The sequence below is a fragment of the Homo sapiens genome, chromosome 3 (genome assembly GCF_000001405.40).
Source record: "Homo sapiens chromosome 3, GRCh38.p14 Primary Assembly".
In the NCBI taxonomy this organism is placed as follows: domain Eukaryota; kingdom Metazoa; phylum Chordata; class Mammalia; order Primates; family Hominidae; genus Homo; species Homo sapiens.
This window is the reverse complement of record NC_000003.12, coordinates 7,552,371-7,577,927: the sequence shown is the minus strand read 5'-3', so window position 1 is coordinate 7,577,927 and position 25,557 is coordinate 7,552,371. Positions and strand designations below refer to the sequence as shown.

The 25,557-nt window shown below is 40.3% G+C and overlaps 1 protein-coding gene across 7 annotated transcripts in view; it reads right to left on the bottom strand.

Moving 5' to 3' along the window:
- GRM7 (glutamate metabotropic receptor 7) overlaps nt 1–25,557 on the bottom strand; it is an 880,419-nt gene that overhangs the window by 163,606 nt on the left and 691,256 nt on the right. The window lies entirely within an intron of this gene.

Below are 25,557 nucleotides of genomic sequence, written 5' to 3'. Positions count from 1 at the left end.
TAAAAATGTTCTAAAATTATTTTGGATAATACTGCAGTGCTGGCCACCTTCTCTAAAATTCTCTAAGCATTACTGTCATTTTCACTGAGAACTTTTGCAGCAATGTGAATCTACTATCACAGGGGAGAAGTGGGGCTTACTAATGAAGGCTTTAATTGTATTAGACTATTTCCTATGAATTCAGGAAGTATTTGATAAGAAAATAATATGGTCTGGAAACCATTTGGCCATCCCCCATTTGCAGATGACATTTAGACTATCCTAGAGAAGAATGTATTTGCTTAATTGAAACATTGGTTTTCTGGAGGGGAACATACCCAGCAGTGTTCTGAGAAATAATGGCATTAGAAACAACGGGAAACTTTACTGTTGGGTGGAAATCTCCTTAGAGTAGGCATCTCTCCTCTTTGCCAGCACAGCATCTGCTCTTTCTTTTCTCTTCCCCGGTATCAGTTCCTCAGATTTCTTTTCTATATGCTTTCTGTGCGGTTGAACTTACACTGAAGCTCTTGGGTTGTGCACATGACCTAGGCCTAACCAATTAGTATATTGTAGTGGTTCTCAAAATTGAGAGTGCATCACCATCATATGGACTTGTTACAATAGAGTTTGCAAGATTTTCTGATTCATTGGATCTGAGGTGTGCCCTGAGAATATGCATTTTTAACACGATCCCAGGTGATGCTGCTGAGGATTGTTCAGGAACCATGTTAGTCAACTACTGATAACATTCCAACCTCCTAGCCACAGATATTGGGTCAGAGATGGCATCATTATGTCCCAGGTCATAGAATTTAATTTCTTGACTTTTTCTGAGGTCACATAGGATAAAAATATTTGTTTTCACTGGACTCAGAGTTTCCAGGATAAAAGATGGCTAGTGCTGATGGCTAAAAGGAGGAATTTATTAGAGAAAGAAGCCAACATAGAGGGAAGCTGAGTGGAAAGACAAAGATCACTGGTGAGCTTGTTTGAGCTCCTGGATATAGCTATCCCTGAAGCAAGAATTTTCCTAGACTATGACATTATGTAAGCCAGTAAATTTATCTATGTTAAAATACTTTGAAGTTTATTGTTAATACTTGCGACCAAGAGTCCTGAGCAATATATGCATGAAATAGTTTTAGTATCCACAAGTCACAAAAGATGTACTACGTCTGCAAGTTATTATACAGAATAATTCCAATTAACAATGATGGCTGATTTTCTCCATATGTAGTTAATTGAATTTTTAATACAATTGAACTAACCAATAGATTAGAAAGATACTGGAAAGTCTGAGACATGTTTTTAAGTGCATAATTTTAAGAGATAAAGGCAAAAGAAAAATAATATATTGCATATTGGAATTTCAGTGTTGTGTTAATATACTGAATGAAATGCATAGCAGAGAGTGATTCTTTCATCAACGCTTGAATGTGAACTACATTCAAATTCTGAATTGAATGTAGCTAACTTGGAAAAATAAATGGCTCAGGAGTTAAACTTGGTAAAATAGCATAACCTTTTAATGGTTGAATTTAAACTTTAACCAGAGATCCAAGCATCTTCAGATGACTCTTATTTGCCTAAGCAGAAAGCCCAAGTCAGCACTAATAAATCACTAACTATAAAGCACAATCTTCTCTTTCTCAGTATCATCATTTTTGAGACAATAAGTCACTGGAAGCCATCCCAGAGTCATAAAATTAGGGAAATAACTTATGACAAGAGAGAAAGATCGCATTAACTTTACAAATGTCAAATTTCAAGAGTTGGAACCTAAAAGAACTGCTGGTATTAATACAAGTGTTTTCAAACATCAGAATAAAAGGTCTTACTCATGGCTACCAGGAAAGATGAACAATAACAACAACAAAAATAAATACATTCGCTTGATTTCAACATTAGTGGCTACTCACGTGCCACATAATTAAACTTTATAGGAATAAATGTAGGGCTCATACAAATATATAAACAAATTATCATCATATGTAATACTTTACAGCCAGTTTAAAATGCTGCCAACTCATTATTTTTCCCCTTGGAATAAAATAAAATACCTGGCAATGCTGCCCAGCTTTTTTTTTCTTAACTTATCCAAATATATACAGGAGCTGTAACCACGAACATCACATTGACTGATCACTTAATTTGTTTTCAATTTTCGTTTAAAGCAGGTTTCAACTCAATTTATTTGTATTTGTTAAACCAACAAAGATTCCTCCTGCTCCAGATGGACAGAAGTCTAATTTACTCCTTTTGCTAACAAAAATCATTATTGAAAATATAATCTGTGTCCCATGAAGGTACTGATTAACATTTAAATGCTCTAGTAAATGAGAATTTTGTTAATGTGATGTATATCATTTGTATATATCTATACCCACCCACACAGATACGCTGCCTTGTTTCATAAGAAACAATCAGCTGAAAATGCCCATGGACATCTATTTTAAAGGAAGATAATTATTTAACGCTATGAAAAATCAAATCTAATGTCAATTTACTTTGCAAGAAGGCTAACAGGAATGTAAATTTCAAGTTTCTCCTGAACTCCGCAACAAAACTGTTTCAGTTAGCTGGAAAGCCAGATGTAAGGTGCAGAAAGATTAAGAAAAAGACTGATGTGTTTATCATCATCTTCATTAGAAGATGCAAGTTTACATTTCTCCATAAAGATGCATTTTCCTTCTGGACATCCAAGGTTTATGGTTTTGGGGTACCTGGTCTTAGTAGGTAGCTCCTGGGGAAGGGCTGAGATCCTAGCTTTTGGCAAGAGAACAGAACTTTACATCTCCATCTCATAGCAAAAACTGACACTCTACATGGCAAATAGACTGCATAGATAAATGGATCAGTAGTTTAGGGAAAGAGCAAATTATGCAGTTCTGGTCAAAGAAAGCAAAAATAAGCTTGTTGTAGAGTCCTAGGAAAGTGTTTTTCATTCTTATACAAGAGGAACAAAGAACGAATATGCCATTGTTAACTTAAAAAAAGAAACTCAGACAGACAGGCTGTCTGGAACAAAAGATTTCATTTGGGAAGAGCAAAGGGTTGTAACCCGGGGTGTACAGCACACCCAAGGAAAATTAAGACAAAGGAAAGACACCCACACAAATCGCTTTGAAAGAAAGCTCACTGGTCTCAGAAACTCACTGCAGGAGTTGCCATTAGTTCACTGGGGGAGATAGTCATTGGTAGGCAACTGTCCTGATCTGAGGTTCTTATCTGAAATACTGCAGGCCAGAGAAAATTCCTGTGAGAAGCTCTTCTTGCTGTTTGCAAGCTATGAGCAAGACATTCAAGGATGCAAGTACGTCAGCTTCTTTGTTCTGGCCCTCACTAACTCTATTTTGGTTAGCGTTTTGACACGTGACTCTATTTTGTACTTCTCACTTCCACACTGCCTTCAGCCTTTGAACTTTGATTTGTGCATACATGATGGTTAGAGCTATAGTAGCCATTTTTCAACAAGAAAAAGACAAGGCACCTGGGCACAGTGGCTCACGCCTGTAATCCCAGCACTTTGGGAGGCTGAGGCAGGTGGATCACGAGGTCAGGAATTCAAGACCAGCCTGGCCAACATAGTGAAACCCTGCCTCTACTAACACTACAAAAATTAGCCAGGCATGGGGGTGGGCACCTGTAATCCCAGCTAGTCAGGAGGCTGAGGCAGGAGAATTGCTTGAACCCGGGAGGCGGAGATTGCAGTGAGCCATTATTGTGCCTCTGCACTCCAGCCTGGGCAACACAGCAAAACTCCATCTCAAAAAAAAAAAAAAAAGCAAGCCTAAGACACAAAGCTCACAAGCTGAGGATGGCAAAAAAATAATAAAAATAAAATAAAAATAAAGAAGACAAAAAGACAGATTAAAAAGAATTTACATCTTTGAAGGCAAAATTATGTCACCAAATTAACTAACACTAATAAAACTCTACCCTGGAATTTTGAGCGTGAAATGATAAACTGTCTTTAATGGCTAACCAATTCTCCATGGCCATCTACTAATTGCAGTCACGCATTCTATCTAATACATTTTCTCTGCATTTGGTACATGCAAACCTTCTTAGTGTGTCAGAAAAATTCACCAATAATTCAAATTCTTACGTGGATAGTAGGCAACTCTAGAAAGAAATGGAAGTTTTTCTATTTGTCTCCTGAGAATGCTCAGAAAAAGGTGTGGTAAAGTACTGAATTCAGAAAATCAGCTTTGACTCCATTGCTTCTGACTCAGACAGAAACAGAGAAAAAGCACCACCAGCTAAAGTTTTCTAGCACACATGTTGGGGGAAAAAATGGTGTCTGGCTCTAGTAGAGAGACAAAGCTACTCCGCAAGGAATGTGCAGACCTTATAATCACTGGAATTTTAAAATAAAACTAAATTAGTTGCTGTCTTACTGCCAAACACAAAAACCAAAGAGATAGAATTGTTATAAACACTGTTCAGTGCATCCATTTTTATGGAGAAGAGATCTGTTCCTTTCCCCACGCAGACACACTCTATCTAAAAGAAAATTTTATCACTTCAGGGATATTTTTCTTGGTGAAATTCCATTTGCATATTTCCAAAGCTTACTCCATAGACCAAGCTGGCTGGTGCTTTTATTGCATAATTCTCTGCAATATTATTTTTACTTGTTAGAACCTTAATAGAATCAGCTAATTTAAAAAAAAGAACTTTTTTTATTAAAATGCCATTTGTTCATTAAAATACATTTGTCCTATCTAATTGATAGAAAAAAAAGGCTTTTTAGGAAGAATTCATAGGTATGTTGAATTTTCAATACTAGGAAAGCGCCAGGTTTTGGTTCTGATGAGGAGGGGTGAGGTAGAGGAGCTAGCGAGTGCTTGGTAAGGAATTCTGCAACACCTCAAGACATTTTTAAACTCAGCCTCTATTTCTGAACATTAAGTAGCATGACTAGACAGCGAACAGAATTTAGGGACTATATTACAATAAAAAACATTGCCAATTCAGATTCCACTTATTCAAAACTTATAAAAGTCAACCTTTTTTAAATGTACTCCACATAGAAAGAATTATTATAGGTAGAAAGATTATTTATATATATATATATATATATATATATATATATATATATATATATATATATATATATTTGAGATAGAGTCTCACTCTGTCGCCCAGGCTGGGGTGCAGTGGCACAATCTCGGCTCACTGCAAGCTCCGCCTTCCAGGTTCACACCATTCTCCTGCCTCAGCCTCCTGAGTAGCTAGGACTACAGGCACCCGCCCCCATGCCTGGCTAATTTTTTTGTATTTTTTTTGTAGAGATGGGGTTTCACGGTGTTAGCCAGGATAATCTCGATCTCCTGACCTTGTGATCCGCCCGCTTCAGCCTCCCAAAGCGCTGGGATTACAGGCGTGAGCCACTGTGCCCAGCCAGCATTATTAGAATTTTTTTAACTGCAGTAGACCCTGGGCATCCATAGAAGGATCCAGAACTGTATTTCACTGCAAAGCCCCAGGGGATCCTAGATGGATGAGACTTCCCTAAGGTTTCTGAGGCTCAACTTTGAATTGAAGCAGTAATTCCTAATTTGTTTGCACATTTGAATTACTTGGGGATCTTCTAAAAATTCCAGAGCCTGTACCACACCCCAGATAAATTAAATCACAATCTCTGAGGGGCAAGAAATAGGCATTAGTGTGTTTCAAAGTTTCTCAGGTGATTTCAGTATGTGGACAAAGTTGGGAACCACTGAACTAAGATCTCCAAAAGGCTGGAATGCAGAAGAAAATCTTTGTGCTGTTAAGTGAAATAATGACTACAAAACCACTTCTCTGGTGATATGGTCTGATTGTCTCTCCACCCAAATCTCATCATGAATTGTAACTCCCACAATTCCCATGTGTCATGGGAGGAACGTGATGGGAGGTGATTGAATTATGGGGGGTGGGCTTTCCTGCACTGTTCTCATGATAGTGAATGAGTCTCATGAGATCTGATGGTTTTAAAAATGGGAGTTTCCCTGCACAAGCTCTCTCTTTGCCTGCTGCCATCCATGTAAGACATGACTTACTCCTCTTTGCATTTCACAGTCTGCCATGATTGTGAGGCCTCCCCAGTCATGTGGAACTGTGAGTCCAATAAATCTCTTTCTTTTATAAATTGCCAAGTCTCGGGTATGTCTCTATCAGTAGCATGAAAACAAACTAATACAGTAAACTGGTACCAGTAGAGAGGGGCACTGCTGAAAAGATACCTGAAAATGTGGAAGTGACTTCAGAACTGGGTAATAGGCAGAGGTTGGAACAGTTTGGAGGGCTCAGAAGAAGACAGGAAAATGTGGGAAAGTTTGGAACTCTCTAAAGACTTGTTGAATGGCTTTGATCAAAATGCTGATAATGATATGGACAATGAAATCCAGGCTAAGGAGGTGTCAGATGGAGATGAGGAACTTGTTGGGAACTGGAGCAAGGGTGATTCTTATGGTTTAGCAAAGAGACTTGGTGGCATTTTTCCGCTGCCCTAGAGATTTGTGGAACTTTGAACTTGAGAGAGATGATTTAGGGTATCTGGCAGAAGAAATTTCTAAGCAGCAAAGCATTTAAGAGGTGACTTGGGTGCTGTTAAAGGCATTCAGTTTTATAAGGAAAGCAGAGCACAGAAGCATGGAAAATCTGCAGCCTGGCAATGCAATAAAAAAGAAAATCCCATTTTCTGAGGAAAATTCCAAGCCAGCTGAAGAAATTTTCATAAGTAATGAGGAGCCAAATGTTAGTCCCTGAGACAATGGGGAAAATGTCTCCAGGGCATGTCAGAGGTCTTCTTGGCAGACCATCCCATCACAGGACTGGAGGCCTAGGTGGAAAAAGTGGTTTCATGGACCAGGGACAGGATCCCTGTGCTGTGTGAAGCATAGGAAATTGGTGCACTGCGGTCCCAGCTTTTCCAGCCATGACTAAAAAGGACCAAGGTACAGTTCAGGCCATGGCTTCAGAGGGTACAAGCCCCAAGCCTTGGGAGCTTCCATGGAGTATTGAGCCTGTGCATGCACAGAAGTCAATAACTGAGGTTTGGGAACCTCTGCCTGGATTTCAGAGGATGTATGGAAACTCCTGGATGTCCAGACAGAAGTTTGCTGCAGGGCAGGGCTCTCATGGAGAACATCTGCTAGAGCAGTGCGGAAGGGAAATGTGGGGTGAGAGCCCCCAAACAGAGTCCCTACTGAGGCACCACCTAGTGGGGCTGTGAGAAAAGGGCCACCATCCTTCAGACCCCAGAATGGTAGATCCACTGACAACTTGTATCGTGTGTGTGGAAAAGCCACAGACCCTCAATGCCAGCCCATGAAAGCAGCCAGAAGGAAGGCTGTGCCCTGCAAAGCCACAGGGGTGGAGCTGCCTAAGGCCATGGGAACCCACCTTTTGCATCAGCATGACCTGGATGTGAGACATGGAGTAAAAGGAGCTCATTTTGGAGCTTAAGATTTGACTGCCCTGCTGGATTTTGGACTTGCATGAGGCCCTCGTTTTGGCCAATTTCTCCCATGTGGAATGGCTGTATTTACCCAATGCCTGTACCCCCATTGTATCTACGAAGTAACTAACTTTTTTATTTTATTTTACAGGCTCATAAGCAGAAGGGACTTGTCTTGTCTCAGATGAGACGCTGGACTGTGGACTTTTGAGTTAATGCTGAAATGATTTAAGAACTTGGGGGACTGTTGGGAAGGCTTGATTGGTTTTGGAATGTGAGGACATGAGATTTGGGAGGGGCCAGGGGTGGAATGATATGGTTTGGCTGTATCCCCACCCAAATCTCATTTTGAATTGTAAACCCCACAATTTCCATGTGTTGTGGGAGAAACTTGGTGGGAGGTGATTGAATTATGGGGGCGGTTCTTTCCTGCGCTGTTCTTGTGATAGTGAATGAGTCTCATGAGATCTGATGGTTTTAAAAATGGAACTTCCCCTGCACAAGCTCTCTCTTTGCCTGCCACCACTGTGGCCGGAATTGGTGGGTTCTTGGTCTCACTGACTTCAAGAATGAAGCCACGGACCCTCGCGGTGAGTGTTGCAGTTCTTAAAGGCGGCGTGTCCGGAGTTTGTTCCTTCTGATATTTGGATGTGTTCAGAGTTTCTTCCTTCTGGTGGGGTTTGTGGTCTCACGGGCTCAGGAGTGAAGCTGCGGACCTTCGCGGTGAGTGTTACAGCTCTTAAGGTGGTGTGTCTGGAGTTGTTCCTTCCTCTGGTGGGTTCATGGTCTCGCTGGCTTCAGGAGTGAAGCTGTAGACCTTCATGGTGAGTGTTACAGCTCATAAAGGCAGTGTGGACCCAAAGGGTGAGGAGCAGCAAGATTTATTGCAAAGAGCGAAAGAACAAAGCTTCCACGGCGTGGAAGGGGACCTCAGCAGGTTGCCACTGCTGGCTGGGGCAGCCTGCTTTTATTCTTATCTGGCCCCACCCACATTCTGCTGACTGGTCCATTTTACAGAGAGCCCAGTGGTCTGTTTTGACAGGGTGCTGATTGGTGTGTTTACATTCCCTGAGCTAGACACAAAGGTTCTCCATGTCCCCACTAGATTAGCTAGATACAGAGTGTGGACACAAAGGTTCTCCAAGTCCCCACCAGCGGAGCTAGATACAGAGTGTCCATTGGTGCATTCACAAACCCTGAGCTAGACATAGGGTACTGATTGGTGTGTTTACAATCCCCTAGCTAGACATAAAGGTTCTCCAAGTCCCCACCAGAGTAGTTAGATACAGAGTGTAGATTGGTGCATTCACAAACCCTGAGCTAGACACAGGGTACTGATTGGTGTGTTTCTAAACCTTGAGCTAGATACAGAGTGCTGATAGGTGTATTTACAATCCCTTAGCTAGACATAAAGGTTCTCCAAGTAAGTCCCCACCAGGGTCAGGAGCCCAGCTGGCTTCATCCAGTGGATCCCACACAGGGGCGCAGGTGGAGCTGCCTGCCAGTTCCCCAATGTGCGCCCGCACTCCTCAGCCCTTGGGTGGTCGATGGGACAGGGCACCGGTGGAGCAGGGGGCGGCGCTCGTCCGGGAGGCTGGGGCCGCACAGGAGCCCATGGAGGGGGGGCGCTCAGGCATGGCGGGCTGCAGGTCCCGAGCCCTCCCCACGGGGAGGCAGCTAAGGCCCGGCAAGAAATCAAGCGCAGCGCCAGTGGGCCGGTACTGTTGGGGGACCCAGTACACCCTCCGCAACCGCTGGCCCGGGTGCTAAGCCCCTCATTGCCCAGGGCCGGCAGGGCCGGCCCGCTGCTCTGAGTGCTGGGCCGCCGAGCCCACACCCACCAAAACTCCAGCTGGCCCGCAAGCGCCGGGGGCAGCCCCGGTTCCCGCTTGCGCCTCTCCCTCCACACCTCCCTGCAAGCTAAGGGAGCCGGCTCCGGCCTTGGCCAGCCCAGAAAAGGGCTCCCACAGTGCAGCGGCAGGCTGAAGGGCTCCTCAAGTGTGGCCAGAGTGGGCGCCAAGGCCGAGGAGGCGCCGAGAGCGAGTGAGGGCTGTCAGCACGCTGTCACCTCTCACCACCTTTGTAAGACGTCACTTGCTCTTCCTTGCCTTTCACCTTTTGCCATGATTGTGAAGCCTCCTCAGCCACGTGGAAGTGTAAATCCAATAAAGCTCTTTCTTCTGTAAATTGCCCAGTGCAGGTATGTCTTTATCAGCAGTGTGAAAACAGTCTAATACATCTTGTCTTTAATTCTTGATATTGTGATGCACTATTGAGAGTACACAAGGACCCTTCTGGGGCCTGCCAGGCTCCCCAGTTCCCAAGCATGGAAATAAAGAAAAGTTCTGAGCCCCATCAAGGGAAGTTCCAGGCACCTTAGCTAGCCCTGCCACCAGCAATTAAGGAAGTGAATGAATAACTTACTAAGCAAGAAGATAACAATAATCACCCAAGTAAGTCAGGGTCATGAGATGTTTGGTTCCCTATATAAACTAAAGGTAACATATTGACATACGTTCCTGAGTTGTTTTCATAAACTGGGACACCCTGCTAGATGAAAAATGCTGACTGCTGTCATGCAGACCTCACACAAACTGGAACTGGAAAATGAATGCGGAAGTTCCAAGAATGCCCCCTCCCTCAACTCATTTTGAAAACCCTCTCACCCCTGCCCTTAAAAACCCTTGCATATAAGTCATCCTGGAGTTGTGTCTTTTTTTTTTTTTTTTTTTTTTTTTTTTTTTTTTTTTTGAGATGGAGTCTCACTCTGTCACCCAGGCTGGAGTGCTGTGGCATGATCTGGGCTCACTGCAACCTCTGCCTCCCGGGTTCAAGCAATTCTCATGCCTCAGCCTTCCCCAGTAGCTGGGATTACAGGCATGCTCCATCATGCCCAGCTAATTTTTGTATTTTTAGGAGAGATGGGTTTCACCATGTTGGCCAGGCTGGTCTCAAACTCCTGGCCTCATGCAATCCACCCACCTTGGCCTCTCAAAGTGCTAGGATTACAGGCATGAGCTCCTGCCCCTGGCCAAGTTTGGGTCTTAAAACATTTGCTGAAACTTCTCCTCACTTGGTGCCCAGCAATACACATCTTACTTTCTATGCAAATCACAATGTCATTGTTTGGCTTTGCTGCACTGGGTGGAAAGCCCCAAGTTTGGTTCAGTAACACTGCCTCTTTTTAAAAGTCTGAATGGGGCACCTAAAATGCTTAGTTATACTCTATTATGATTTAATGGGAACATACAATATTGTAGTGGAATTACAACTTTTCACAGTCAGGAGGGTCTCTAGGCTTAAGTTTCATAATGTTATTGGTTAAACAACTTAAAATGCCTACAGAAGCTGGACATATAGAGTAAACAAATGAAGTGAGTGGGTGTAAGAAACATTTTTCCCCACCCCAAACAACCAAGTCTAATGGAACACAAGTTTGTTAAATTATACATCAAGAACGGATTTCATTGTAGTTCTCCCTAAATGACCTGTATTTACTATTTTAATGCTTGCATTATCCTCAAAAACAAAAAATTATGAGGGAGGTTCTTATCTTAAATTTGCAGAATTCAAAACTCCCAGAGAAATTGAATAGTTGGCCACAAAAGTAAATCTAGGTCTGTCTTTGCGAAACCTTTCTATACCCCTAAGTAAAACAGACCCATTTTACTTGATTTCAGAACCATTTTTTTTTTCCCCCTGGAAGAATCGGGACAGCCTTACGGGAAATCTTCAGAATTTTTTTTTTTAACAACCTCTATGCCTTTTTAAAAAATACCATATATTCTTAGATTGCCAAACAATATCCATCTACTGATACCAGTTAGCTATCTTTTTTTTTATTCAGTGTCACAAATTATCCATTTCTGAAATAGTTCTGCCAGTAGAAAAGCCATCTCCTTGTAAACAATTTATTTGCTAACTGCAAATGACCTCCTATTTCTTCTCACTCTGTGATAGTTTCCTAAAAGATGTTTAACAATCAAAGATAGATATTTTTATTCCAATTATCAAATACATTTGAAAATACTTTTTTAAAAGCCTGAATTTAAGAATAATATTATAATGTAAACATAATTCATATGAATCTCTCAATGAGAAAGAATGAGTTGGGTTATTTTAAATTTATTTCAAATTAAATTTGTTCAAAACTGGACTCATATTCTGTACCAGGGGCTGACAAGCTGGCCTATGGGTCAAAACCTGTCCGTTGCCTATTCTGAAAATAAAGTTTTATTGAAACACATCCACATTCATTGATGTACATATTATTTATGGCTGCTTTTATGCTAAAACAATGGTAGAAATGAGTAGTTGGCAATGCATAGCCAGAAAAGCCTAAAGTATTTACTCTCTGATCTTTTACAAAAAAAAAAAAAAAAAAAAAAAAAAAAACAGCTGATTCAGAGCCAAAGAAAACAGAAATACAAATCCTTAGTGCATGGTGGATTTATCTATTCATAAGCCAGAAGTTAGGTGTCATCTTTGATATCTCCCTTTCCCTTAACCAAACATATTTAAATTACCAACAACTTATGTCAGTTTATGTCATGCAGGAAATTATTTATATCATCCAAAAAGCTATATGTGCAGTACTTACTGAGTTCTGGACCTGGCTGACTTGCCAGGAGCAAAACAGATAAAGGTTACTTCCTTAGAGAGTTGAATCATCCTTTCTGATCTTTGCTACCAAACCCTCTTCAGCAAATCTTTCTGTCCAGTTTCCTCACCTCCCTTTCCTGCTGGTCTTCTCCTAAGCCAATTATTGCACAACATCCAGCACAATCCTTTTAATGTGCAGGTCTAATCATGTCATCCTTTCGGTTAATATCATCAATGACTTTTCATTGCTCTCATACCTCCCATATAACTGTGCACAATTTGGCAGAGATATCCGTCAGCTGGCTTCACTCTCCTGGATTTATCTGAATTCTATGAAGTTTCCTGGCCCACAGTGGCTTTCATGTCACAATATGAAATAACCTTTAGGCTTACCTAAGTTTTGTTCAGGAAGTCCCTATACCCACTGGAATGAGCATTGTTTTATTCATAAAGATACCTCTTCACAGCACTTTGTAATTACGATTTGTAATTATGCAAAAATGAGACTCGATTAAAGTCTATTTATTTTCCCAACTAATATGTGTATGCTTCATGAGAGCACAGCCTCCATCCTCTTTGTCCACTATTGTAATTCAATATCTGGGAAGAAATGCAATTGAATTGCTGGATTAAATGGATAAATGATGGTGTCAAGGAAAGAACAGACTGACCTCTCCTTTAGAAGTGATTTTTCTATACTCAAAATTTGAGTTAAAGTGTAATTAGAAATGATGAAAGGATCCATAATTACTTTTGTGAGTCTCATCAGTTTTCTGGTCATTTAATGCATATCTATGTATATAATGAATGTTTGCAGCTTAAATGTCCTTGATATTTTCTTAAAGGAAGAAAGGGAATTAAATATGGAGCACTCAGTTACTAGGTGGAGGACAAATGAACACAATTAGCACATTATGAGACGGGAGAAAAACAAGTCATGTGCAATCTGCAGCCAAGGACAGAACATGATTTCAGTAGTCCCTGACTTCTCTGAACACTCTCCTTCAGTAAGCTTAGGTACAGCTCAAAATAGAAAGAGTATGAGTTAGGAAGTCAGGCTGTCCTGGGTTCAAAGCCTGGCTTCATCGCCTCTAGTAAGTATGGCCATAAGCAAGTAGAGGATATGGAATCTCAGTTCCCTTAGTTTATTAGGTAGGAAGACTAAATAAGATGACACGTGTAAGGAATAGCATGATGCCTGAGACATGGCAGTTACCTAAATAACGATTAATTTAAAAATATATATATATTATGGCTCCAACGGTCAATACATTTCATGCAAAGAACTTTAAGATGAATATTCCCAGTCCTCCTCTCCCTCGAGCTTCAACTTTTCCAGCTGAACATTGCCAGTATTTAATGTCATAGTGGCTTTTCAGACCCTGCAGATGTAAAGTGAACACATCAACTTCCTTTCCTTTTTCTAGATCTCTCCACACACAGTTCAGCCTGTTTTGATGGACTAGATAATAACATGAGCATTGGAATCAGATGATCACGGGTTCAAATCCTAGCAGGGTGATCTTGGCCAAGTCATTTAAGCTCTTGAAACCTCATTTTTTTCATCTGTGAAATGGAGACAGTAATAATTACCTCCTACACTTACTGAAAAAGGGCATGTATGGAAGCATGTTGTCTGACACATGGTAAAACTTGATGAGTTCTGTCTATTACAATTATTAGTGACAATACAGTCATCTTTAACTCTTTACCTTGCTCCCATTGGAGAGTAACAATTGTGAAAGTTCGTTCCTGTTTTCTCCCATAAACCCTTTTCTTCTTTGTCCCCAGTGATGACCATCTATTAAAGTCATCCGTGTTGGGTCCACTTAATTGCTCTCTCTGATTTTGGGTCTTCCCTTCCTTATTTCTTATTCCTTTACTCTGCTTTCTCTTCATAATAATGGCTGGCTTAAATTAAACATATGGATGTTGACTTCTGTGTCCATCTCCCTCCACCTGAATGTAAGCCCAGGAGGTCAGAGACCACATCAGTGGTGTTTCCTAATGTTCATCTCTACCTAAAAACAGCAGCTCACAATGACTGTTTGTCTGAAGTTGACAGAGTACCTTCTTGGAAGGCAAGTGTGAGTTTACTGCATCCTGGATTAAAAACTGAAATGTCTCCATTGCCCACGTGAGACAGTGCAGACTTTTCATTTGATTGTTCATGTCATTCCAAAGCAGACCCCCGAACCTCCACTCCAGTTTCATTGGCCTCTTCTAACAAAGGGCAGTGATTGGGCTTCCCTTTAATACCAGAGTCCCTATTTATATTATTTTATTTACACTTAACCTTTCGGCTGTCATTTTTCCCCCTAATTCTTCCGCCATTATCTTAAATGTCCCAAATCTTTCCTGATGCCTTCAAGCTGAAATGGTCTTTCTCTTGTTTGAAATCTCTTAGCATTTCATCTTTGCCATCTTTCTCTTCCCTGTACTTACACTTTGAAAAGTAGGGCCATTATCTATTTTGTTTAATCTCCTACAGAGCTGAAAAGTAATATGGAACCTGGGGCAGATTCTATCCTAAGAAAGAACTTTTAGGATTAGGATATAAAAGGATAAATCCTTAGAGGAAAAAAATGTCCTCTTTTATGCCTTTGAACACTTGTCATTCTTCTTTTGCGCTTGAGCCTTCTGTATCTGACTAGCTTTAAATATAACAAACTGTACAAAAAAGAACAATAGAAATCCTTAAATCACTGAAACTAAATCTTCTTTTCTAACCAGCTCAGCCATTCATCTTAGATTTTCACACTCAAGACAACTTGCAAATTGCTTTTCACCCACTCACCTGGGGTGAGTCATGCTCTCTGCCAGGTAAATGGAGAAGAATGGCTTACTAAGACAAGAAAGGCTTTTGATTATTTTTTCTGTTATTCCCCTACTTTCTATTTTTATAAGTTTTGAATCTCTTGTTTCCCTTTTCTGAACTAAAGGATAGAAACTGTTTTTATACAGGTTATTTAGGATAGTTATCTCACATTTCATTATAATGAAAACTAGCCCTGCAACATAATCTTTTGAGAAAAAGAAACCACTCTATCCAATACAGACACATCAGGGGAGGCAGGATGCGTATTAGTGTACTGAAGACTTTGAGATGTTTTGCTCTTAAGGAAAAATGAGGCCTCCTTGATTTAATCTAGTGCTTTCTAATCCATTTGAGTATAGAACAAACCATTCTTTTTTTTCCTGTAATATCTATCTCTCAACATTCTGTGGAATCTGTATTCTTTCAATAACACTGTAGAAAACAGTGATGTTGCTTAACTAATACTTTGGTTGGGATTCTAGCATCAACTTTCAGGCTTTCTTTGTTCTTGGGCTAGAAGAACTCGTAGGGTCATTGCAAAACTTATAGAACATGAACTGGGTTGCAAACGCTCTCAATTCTGGCTAGATCATCTTGATCGACTCACTTAACTTCTGTGAGGTCAATTAATGGAGTTACAGAAAAACCAAATATGACTCTATATTTGAGAGTATTTTAGAGGGGTAATAGTCAATTAAAACTAGTATTTTTTTTTTCTTTTTAAAAAAATATAAGGGGGAAAGTGAACTATTACTTCACTTGGGTTTTAGCTTTTTTTCCTGGCACATCGTGTCCATGCCTTTGTTCATGCACCTCCTGCTGACTGGCATACTGTTTCTCCAGCTCAAGTTAGCAAGACTGAGCCAAATACTTCCTCCTGGTGAATAGCTGGCAAGAAAAACTAAAAAGTCAACCTCTGTCTTACAGGGCAATGGGTTAATGCTTCCTACAAAAAGCCTAAATCAAAAGCGTTGTATTCAAGCATGTGCTATCCAATGATGAATTGGAGAATCAGTTCTTTAACAGATAACCTGAGGAAACAACTCAAGCAGTTGGAGTTTCAAACTCAGTTGCGAGTTCAGGGGATGTGGCAGTGACATATTTGGGTAAGAGGCTTTCTGGTATCTTTCATGTCACTTCGATGTAAGTCACCACCCACTGCCACTGAATTCTGTCCCATGCCTTGTGGAGTTTGGCAGAAGGCTGTTGAAGTGTATGTTCATTGATACTGATGTCTATTTTACATGAATATATTTAAAAATTCAATTAGACTATTTAACAACAGAATCTACTATCTCACAAACTTATAAGTCCACAAAGCTAAGAGAGAAGTGGCTTCTAAACCAAACATGCATATCTGCTTATTTTTTTGCATTGAGAAGTTAGGTCAACTTCAGAGAATTAGACAAATAGAGTGCTTATCTGATTCACATTATCTTCCAAGACTGCTGGAGGACTAAAGGGATATGAAAAGTAGCTTTTTCCTCAAACAAAAATATGCTTACACTACTAAGGGTACTACGATGTCCTGGAAGGACTTTCCATGCCAACATTCTGTAGCAGGCACAAATGGTCTCTATCCCATCCTTCTAACATCATCTTGTAATTCTCCTATCTCATAATCAAAGGCCATTCACTGAGCAGCTTCTGTGTTCCATGCACTGTATTAAACAATAAAAATACAGACATGAGAAACACCTATTTTCTTTCCCTCAATAGGATCTCAGCATCACAGTATAAATTTGTGTATAAATCACACTAAATTCAATGTAATTTAAGATGTAAGTGTGACCCAGTTGGTCCTTAAGCATCCTTTTCTAGAATATTGGAGCAGAGACTCTGAGGATGAATATGAGTGCTTTAATGAAACAAGATGGCAAAAACGCATTCAGAAACAGTGAATAGCTTGAGAAAACGCAAGAAAGCATGAATGCACTAGATTCACAGATGGTGATGAGGATGAAGGTCTGTAAGTAGTTTCAGTTGAACTGCAATATAAAGTGCAAGCAAGGGAGGAAGAAAAAATGTTGGAGACTAAGACACAGGCAGGCAACAGATTATGGAAAAACAATTTGCTCATTATTCATTCAAGGGCTATCTGCCATCTATGCAGTATGTGCCACATGATATCCATTAGGATAAAATTGTTGAACGAATTGGATAGGACTTCCTGAGCTTAGAGTAGAAGAAACGGCCAAGGCAAAAATAATATAACAAATTAATAAAATGTATTATAATAAGTGTTAAACAGGAAATAAATAATGTGCTGATAGAATTACATGAAGGCAACCATTCCAATAGAAGATGAGAGAAGTAGCAAAGGTGATTCTTAAGCTGTGATCTGAAAGGTGAAAACATGAGCATGGGAAGTAACACGGCATGTATGCAAAGATCCTGAAGCAGGAAAAGCTCCAGGTATTAGAACAGTGCTTCTCAAACTTGAATGCACCAACAAATCTAGTGTGAACCTTGTTACAATGCAGATTTGAATTCAGTTGGCCTGGAGTGGGCTTGAGACTCTGAATTTTTATCAAGCTCCCAGGTAATGTTGTTGGTCTGGGGAACAAACTTTAATAGCAGAGTGTTAGAGAAACAAAAATCAGAGAATGCATCCAGAACTCAGTGGTAAAGATAAAACACTCTGCGTGAGAGTGGAGAGAAAGAAAGGTGAGCTGAGAACTATCACACATGCCTTTGGGAAAGATATGATTATCAACAGACTTGCAATTCATTTTCCTCCACAGGGGCCGGGAGTGAGGAGGATATGGGAGCATCCTCCAGAAAAGCAGAAGAAAGGTAGCTTGATTGCATTTCCTTTTTTGTATGTAGACAGATACATTACTTACAGATCTAATTTATTATTCCAGGTTAGACCAAAAAGGAAGTAAAGACCTAGGTGTCATATGGTACTTCTATGCCTCTCCCTACTTTGCCTGTGTCTCACAATTATCTGAAACTCTGTAATTAAGGGTAAAGCCTGATAGTAGGGATTATGGATTCAGTTGTGTCCTCCTACCGCAAAGTCATAAGGTTAAATCCCTAACCCCCAATATGACTGTATTTGGAAATGTCGCCTTTAAGGAGCTGAGTAAGTTTAAATGAGGTTCATACAGGTGGGGCCCTAATCCAATAGAACTGGTGTCCACAAAAGAAGGTGAGGAGATAGGAAAGGCCATGTGGGGACAACATGAGAAGGAGGCCATCTGCAAGCCCAGAGGAGAGCCCTCACCAAATACCAATACTGATGGCACTTTGATGTTGGACATCTAACCTTCAGAACTGGGAGAAAATAAATTTCTGGGTTTAAGTCACCCAGTCGGAGGTATTCTGTTATGGCAGCCCTAGCTGATCAGTGTACTAGGTAAGACCACTGATTTGTATAAATCAGATTTGACAATCAAACTCTTTGTGTTCATTCGCCTTCGCAGAGTTGAGAAATAATACTGTAGAGTGATTGATGGCTTAAAGCAATGCTCTTTTGGCCAGGATATATATTAGAAACATGTTGGGAGACTTTGAAACACATCCATACCAAGATTCTCTCAGAAGGGTTATCATTTTATTGGTCAGTGATGGTGCCCGGGCATTGGTATGTTTCCAACCTTCCTATGTGGTTTTTATGTGCACCCAGGGCTGAGAAACAGTGGGGGAAATTATGCTTTGAAAGATACTTCTGGCCACCCTAGAGGCAGCAATAGTAGATAATGTGCTTGTAAATAAATATAGGGTACACACCTTGGCATCTGTGCTTCTCCAGACCTGACAGGTGATAAATAAGAAGCAAAGTTTCTCCTCCCTTCAGTCCTCAACATGCACACATTTCTAGAGCATCTGACTTTATCTTGGATGGGAAGCCAAGCAGCTGTCTTGGGCCACATATCTTGTTGATGCCCTCAGTGCAAGGCCCCTTGGTAATTACTCATTTCAATGAAAAAAAAAAAAAAAAGCGACTGTTAATATATGTGTGTTGTTGAAATGCACTCTCCAATCTTTCTTGCCAACCTGCATATTTCTGTAATAAGCCATTTATTCAGAGCTCAATAATTTTCTGATGTTTGATTAAACAAAATCAACACCAAAATAATTCTATTAGGGTTAATTGACATCTTCTCACAGGAAAATTAGCCACTTTGCTGGTTATGCTTTTAATAACAAGCTTCCCAGATTTCAATGGCCATATTTGAACACAATTCTTGAGAACTGCTTTGAAGATTGAATATAACCTTACAGATTGCTTTTAACAAAACAGTTACCATGTCAACAGTTCAAACAATTATTTAGCCTTATGGATAGCACTACAATATTCACAAGACTTAGCAGCTAGGATTTAACTATTAAGGCCTTATAATTAGTTTCTTAATCTAGAGCTTGAAAATGATAAGAGTTTAATGCCTAGACTATGTCAATAACTTTTAGGCAATATTATTTACTAAAATATGTGGACCCCTAATTGTCTTATTAAATATATTGGGATAAAAATGAAATTGGCATGGGCCTAGGTCAAATAAACTTTCTGAGCATAATAATGAACCATTATTATTTATTATTTTGTTCCCTTCCCTCACACTGGGATAAATTTGCTACACTTGCAGAATTCTCCTACAGCCTAGAAGCACTACATCAAATCTACAGGCCCGTCTTTTCTTTTCCTTTTTGAATACTAGGTTAGTGTTTTACTTGGAAAACTTCTTCAGAACTAAAAACTTAGCCATAGCATTTTATTTCACCGTAGTATATCAAAAAAGGATTTGCTTTTCAATAATAATTATTGAACATCCACTCTATGCCAGGTATTAAATATATACTATCTCTAATCCTCATTAAAAACTACATAAGGTAAGAATTATTCCCCTGAACTTGGAATGAGCAAACCCAGGCTCAAGCATTAAATGTAAATTTAAAAGATGCATCCAAGTCATACATCTTATAAGATTTCAAGAGATACATTGTCATATATCATGGAAAATTAGCTTCCTTTACATCCTTGCAAACAAGTTATCCAAAAGCAAATGCTTTTACCAGTTTTCTATACATGTTTTAATGCATTTATGACAACATCTTCACTAATTGCATTGCTTATGTTAATTTTAATGTCACTCCCTCCACTCTCTCTTGAGGAGAGACAGGAGGAAATAAAAGAGCTCCAAGGCATTTGAAACATCAGTGATTTAATATTGATCCTGCTTATTTCTGAGGGTCACTCCCCAAGTTGCTCAACTCAAAAGTTCTGTGGGGTGATCCTGCCTTATTTGGAAAGGCTGTCTTAAGAGAACAAGGAGGGGATTTACATTTTCGTGCCTCCATTCAGAATTTATTTTTAATAATTTTAGTTATAAATTAAGATTGTTAATGAGTTTAAGTTTTTTACAATTGCCAGGTAGGTTTTTGTTTTATACAAGCCTGTAATGAAATACATATCTTCCTTATCATCAATTGTATGTTCTTAAGCCAGTCACTACATCTTTATAATCATTTTTTGATGTGATCCATGAGGACAGTGTCTGACTTGGAAGTTGATCAGAAGGATAAACCCTGAAAATCTAAAAGCACTCAAAACATGGAGGATGATAAATACATGGCAACTTATTTTTCTTTTCTTCCTCGCTCAATACATGTTTTTCACTTGACAAATACTTTCTAATTTGAAATTAACATTAATTTCAAAATATATTCAAACTGCAAAACTACATCATGATGTTTCTTCCCAGATATGTCAATATCTCCATGTGCCATTTAGAAAATCAGAATTTTAGAGTCTATTTTAACATTTCCTCTTGTCATCTTCCATGTCTAACTCATGACCAAGTCTTACTGATTTTATCCTCTAAGCACCTAGCATAGCCACCTACATTTCTCCTTTTGCACCATTACCTCCCACAGATTGAGCCCAGTGGATTCCTAAGGCAGGCCCAGAGTCTTGGAAGACCCTCCATTCTGATCCACACACATCCACTAGATTTCATCCTCCAGACACAGCAGTCTTTCCAGAAGGCAGATCTAATCATCTAATCTAGTCATAGTAACCCTACTCTTCACTGTTTAAAATTCATCAGATGGGTTTTCATTGCTCATAAGTTAAAAACCCTAATTCTTGGCATGGCCTAAAGACCTGCTTTTTATGCCTCATGCCACATGCTGCAATCCTATGAGCATTCTCCAGAGGTTTACCATAGCTGAGCTTTACAGCCATATTCTGCTCTCTCTCATGGATGGCTTTTCTTTCTTTTGCCCAAGTTAGCTCCTCCTCCATCCTCCAGCCTTCAATGCCTCAGTCACTTCTTCAAGGATACCATTCCTAATCTCTGATTTAGGTGAAACTCCCTTAAAATGGAGTCTCATTGTCAATGATTGTCAATGATGTCAATGATGCAGTTTCATACTGTACATGAGAGAACATTAGATTATCATCTATTCTCCTTGCTAAGTGCCACGTTCAGTGAGGGCAGGGACAATGCTTTGGTTCACCAGTTGAGTCCTCATCAGTTAGTACAATGCCTGGCACCAAACAGACAACTAATAAGTATCAGTCAAATAAATACCAAAATAATGGCTATTTACAACAGAGGGTAGTAATGACCCCTCATAGCAGGTAGCATAGTTTACTATGTGCCATGCAATTTTTTGGGCACTGCAAAAATGCAGTCTCACAATGAGTCTTTGCACTAAAGAGATGTAATAATATCTCTTAAGCCCCATTTTACAGAGGTGAAAATGATGAAAACATAGAGGTTACTATGGTCTGAATGTTTATATCCCCTAAAATTCACATGCTGAAACCCAATCACCAATATGATGTTATTAGGAGGTAGAACCATTGGGGATGATTAAATAATGAGGACAAAGCCCTCATGAGTGAAATTACTGCCCTTATTACAAAAGGCCCAAGAGAGGTGCCTTGTCCTTTCTACCACGTGAGCATGCAAGGATAAGGCATCATGTATGAACTAGGAAGCCAGTCTTCACCAGACTCCAAATCTGCCAGCACCTTGATCTTGGACTTCTGTGAGAAATAAATGCCTGTTGTTTATAAGCCACTCAGTTTATGTTTAGTTACAGCACCCCAAATCAAATAAGACAGGTTAATTGAGAGTGTAATCTATGCTAATCACCTAAAATGCTGGTTCCCCTTTAAACTTTAAAGTTAAAAAATAAGTTTTACTAAGATTAGCAATGCTTTTGGCCCTTCCTATAGGGTGTCTTTTAAGTAAGTAGATATGGTGGCTTCTCACTGCATAGTGAGACAGCTATACAGATGGCAGGAGTATGAGCTGGGACTACTGCACATGCAAGCAAAAAGTTAGCAGAGTAATGACTTGAGGTGCTGCTGAGTGTTCTACTGTTATGAGTAATGTTTTATGAGTTACTCCTTAACTGTAAGCATCTGCCTTAAATATAAGTGTCAGTGGGTAAAAATATTTGCCAATTCAAGATTCCTACTGCCAAACCCAAATCCTAAAATTCAGGCAGTTGTAACAATGTTTTAATTTGCCATTGAAAGGTGCACAGAATTGTTAGGACTAAAAAGAATATTGAAGAATAGCTTGTAGTTGAACACATCATTTGACAAAAGAGAAAAACAACAACAGCTATTGCAAAATGTGAGTTAAAATGAAAATCATGTATCTACCCCATTGGAGTCCTTGTTTGTAGGCTGTCATGGGAGCCCTAAACCAGAAAGTTAGGGGAAGAGATTCTATAGAGCCAGTTAACAAAGGATCAGGTGAAATTTTACATTGAGATGGCTTGTGGGGAATAGTAACAGAACTTAGACAACAGTGTTTCAAAATTTTAAAATTCTAATTCCTTCAGATCCCACCTTATTATTACTAGTGACAGCCACAATAATAATTTAACAGTAATGGTACACTTAGAGTGAACCAATCAGACCTATACTAAATGTTGCTTAAGGGTTGTACCAGTTATTTCATTTGATTTCTCACAAGTGTCATCCACATTTTACAACTGAGAAGAATGAGACATGGAGAAACCAGGCAAATTAACCCAAAGTACCCAGCTGGTAAGGAGCAGAGTCAGGAGGAGACCCTGGCTGTCTGACTTCAGTATCTGTGCTTCTAATCTAAGTTGATTCCTGGGAGATGCCCTTTCTGACCACCCTAAGAGATCACTCTCCCTATCCACTGCCACTCTCCCTTGGGGCAGGAGGCAACTTGGGACTCTATTTTAGACATCCAGCTGAACTGCATTTCCAAGCCCATCATGTATTTATGCTGTAAGCAGTAATGACATGGGCCACTGGCAGGCCATCCATAGGACTTTGTCCATCAATATCCTGCCTTATGGCTATCAACCTGCTGATTATAGAGAAGGGAGGAGGCCCTCAAAATGGCAGCACCAACTAATGAAGAGAGTATGGATCCTTGAAAGACTGAATGGAGCCCAGGACCTACCATCCTCACACCAACCCCAATCCCTACTGTCTGCCCACACTAGACTGTGACATGAGTATGAGTGATAAATCAACTTTTATTAGGCTAAGCGGCTGATATTTAGCGGTGGATTACTTACCCTAGCTAATTTCTCACTGTTGGTTTCCTCCATAGCACTGATTACAATTACACTTGTACTTTATTGTACATTACTCATTCGATGTTGTCACATTTGCTCAACTGTAAGCTTCTAAGGGGAGTGACTGAGTCTGTTTCATCTACCACCATAGCAAGCGACTAGCAAGAGTCCAGCCTGAAGTGCCCGTGTAGCGATATTTGTTACATGATTGTTGGGAAGATGGAAGCCAATGCAACAAAGTGAATGGGCATACACAAAGAGTTTCCTCCCCAGTGTGATGTGGCTACTTTAAACAGGGTTTAGGTTCAATAATCAGGAGTGCCAGCATCTACAAGCATATTCTTAAATAAAAGCTTTAGGTTCAAGGACTGTATATATTCTTCTCCATGATAGGTATTTCTATGGAATTAGAATGCAGGACCAAATTATGTTTCTGGATCTAGCAACGTTCTACTTTGCATAGCTTCGTCATAGCTTTGCTTCATAGCTTTGCACAGAGGGTGGGGCACTAGAACGCTGCACTGAGACATGAGACCCTTTACCCCTGCCCTATGGAGCTACCCCCCATTAGTTGAGTTCTTGAAAACAAATTGGGAACTTAATCTACATTTATAATATGTCCATGTCCCTTCCTGCTATCACAGCTTCTTCAAGAAGATACAATAAATGAAAAGAAAGATTTCCTAGGTAAGAACTGATATGGGTTAGGCTTTGTGTCCCCATTCAAATCTCATATCGAATTGTAATCCCAATAATCCCCATAATCCTCACGTGTCAAGGGAGAGACCAGGTGGAGGTAAATGAATCAGAGGGTGATTTCCCCCATGCTGTTCTCAGGAGAGTAAGTACATTCTCATGAGATCTGATGGTTTTATAGGAGGCTTTTCTCCCCTTCTCTTGGCACTTTTCCTTTCTGACACCTTATGAAGAAGATGCCTTGTGCTCCCTCTTCACCTTCCACCATAATTGTAAGTCTCTTGAGGCCTCCCCAGCCATGCTGAACTGTGAGTCAATTAAGCCTCTTTCCTATATAAATTACCCAGTCTCGGGAAGTTCTTTATGGCCATATGAAAATGAACTAATACAATAAATTGGTACCAGGAATGGGGTGCTGCTATACAGACACTTGAAATTGTGGAAGCAACTTTGGAACTGGATAACAGGCAGAGGTTGGAACAGTTTGGAGGGCTCAGGAGAAGATAGGAAAATGTGGGAAAGTTTGGAACTTCCTAGAGACTTGTTGAATAGCTTTGACAAATCTGCTGACAGTGATATGGACAATGAAGTCCAGGCTCAAGTGGTCTCAGATAGAGATGAGGAACTTGTTGGGAATTGGATCAAAGGTGACCCTTGCTATGCTTTAGCAAAGAGACTGGGAGCATTTTGCCCCTGTCCTAGAGATCTGTGAAATTTTGCACTTGAGAGAGATGACTTAGAGTATCCGGAAGAAGAAATTTATAAGCAGCAAAGCATTCAAGACGTGACTTGGGTGCGCTTCAAAGCATTTGGTTCTATGCATTCAAGAGATGGTTTGGAATTGGAACTTATGTTTAAAAGGGAAGTAGAGCATAAAAGTTTGAAAAATTTGCAGCCTGATTACAAGGAAAGAGAAACCCATTTTCTGAGGAGAAATTCAAGGCAGCTGCAGAAATTTGCATAAGTAACTAGAAGCCAAATGTAAATCACCAAGACAATGTGGAAAATGTTTCCAGGGCGTGTCAGAGGTCTTCACAGCAACTTCTCCCATCACTGGCCCAGAGGCCTAAGAGGAAAAATGGTTTTCTGGGCTAGGCCCCGGGCCTCGCTGCTTTGCACAGTCTCAGGACTTGGTGCCCTGCATCCCAGCTGTGACTAAAAGGGTCCAATGTACAACTCACACTGCTGCTTCAGAGGGTGCAAGCCCCAAGCCTTGGCAGCTTCCACATGATGTTGGGCCTGCGGGTGCATGGTAGTCAAGAACTGAGGTTTGGGATCCTCCATCTAGATTTCAGAGGATATATGGAAACACCTGGAAGTCCAGGCAGAAGTTTGCTATAGGAGTGGAGCCCTCATGAATGACCTCTGCTAGGGCAGTGCAGAAGAGAAATGTGGGGTTAGAGCCCCCACACAGAGTCCCCATTGTGGCACTGCCCAGTGGAGCTGTGAGAAGAGGATCGCTGTCTTCCAGAGCCCAGAATGGTAG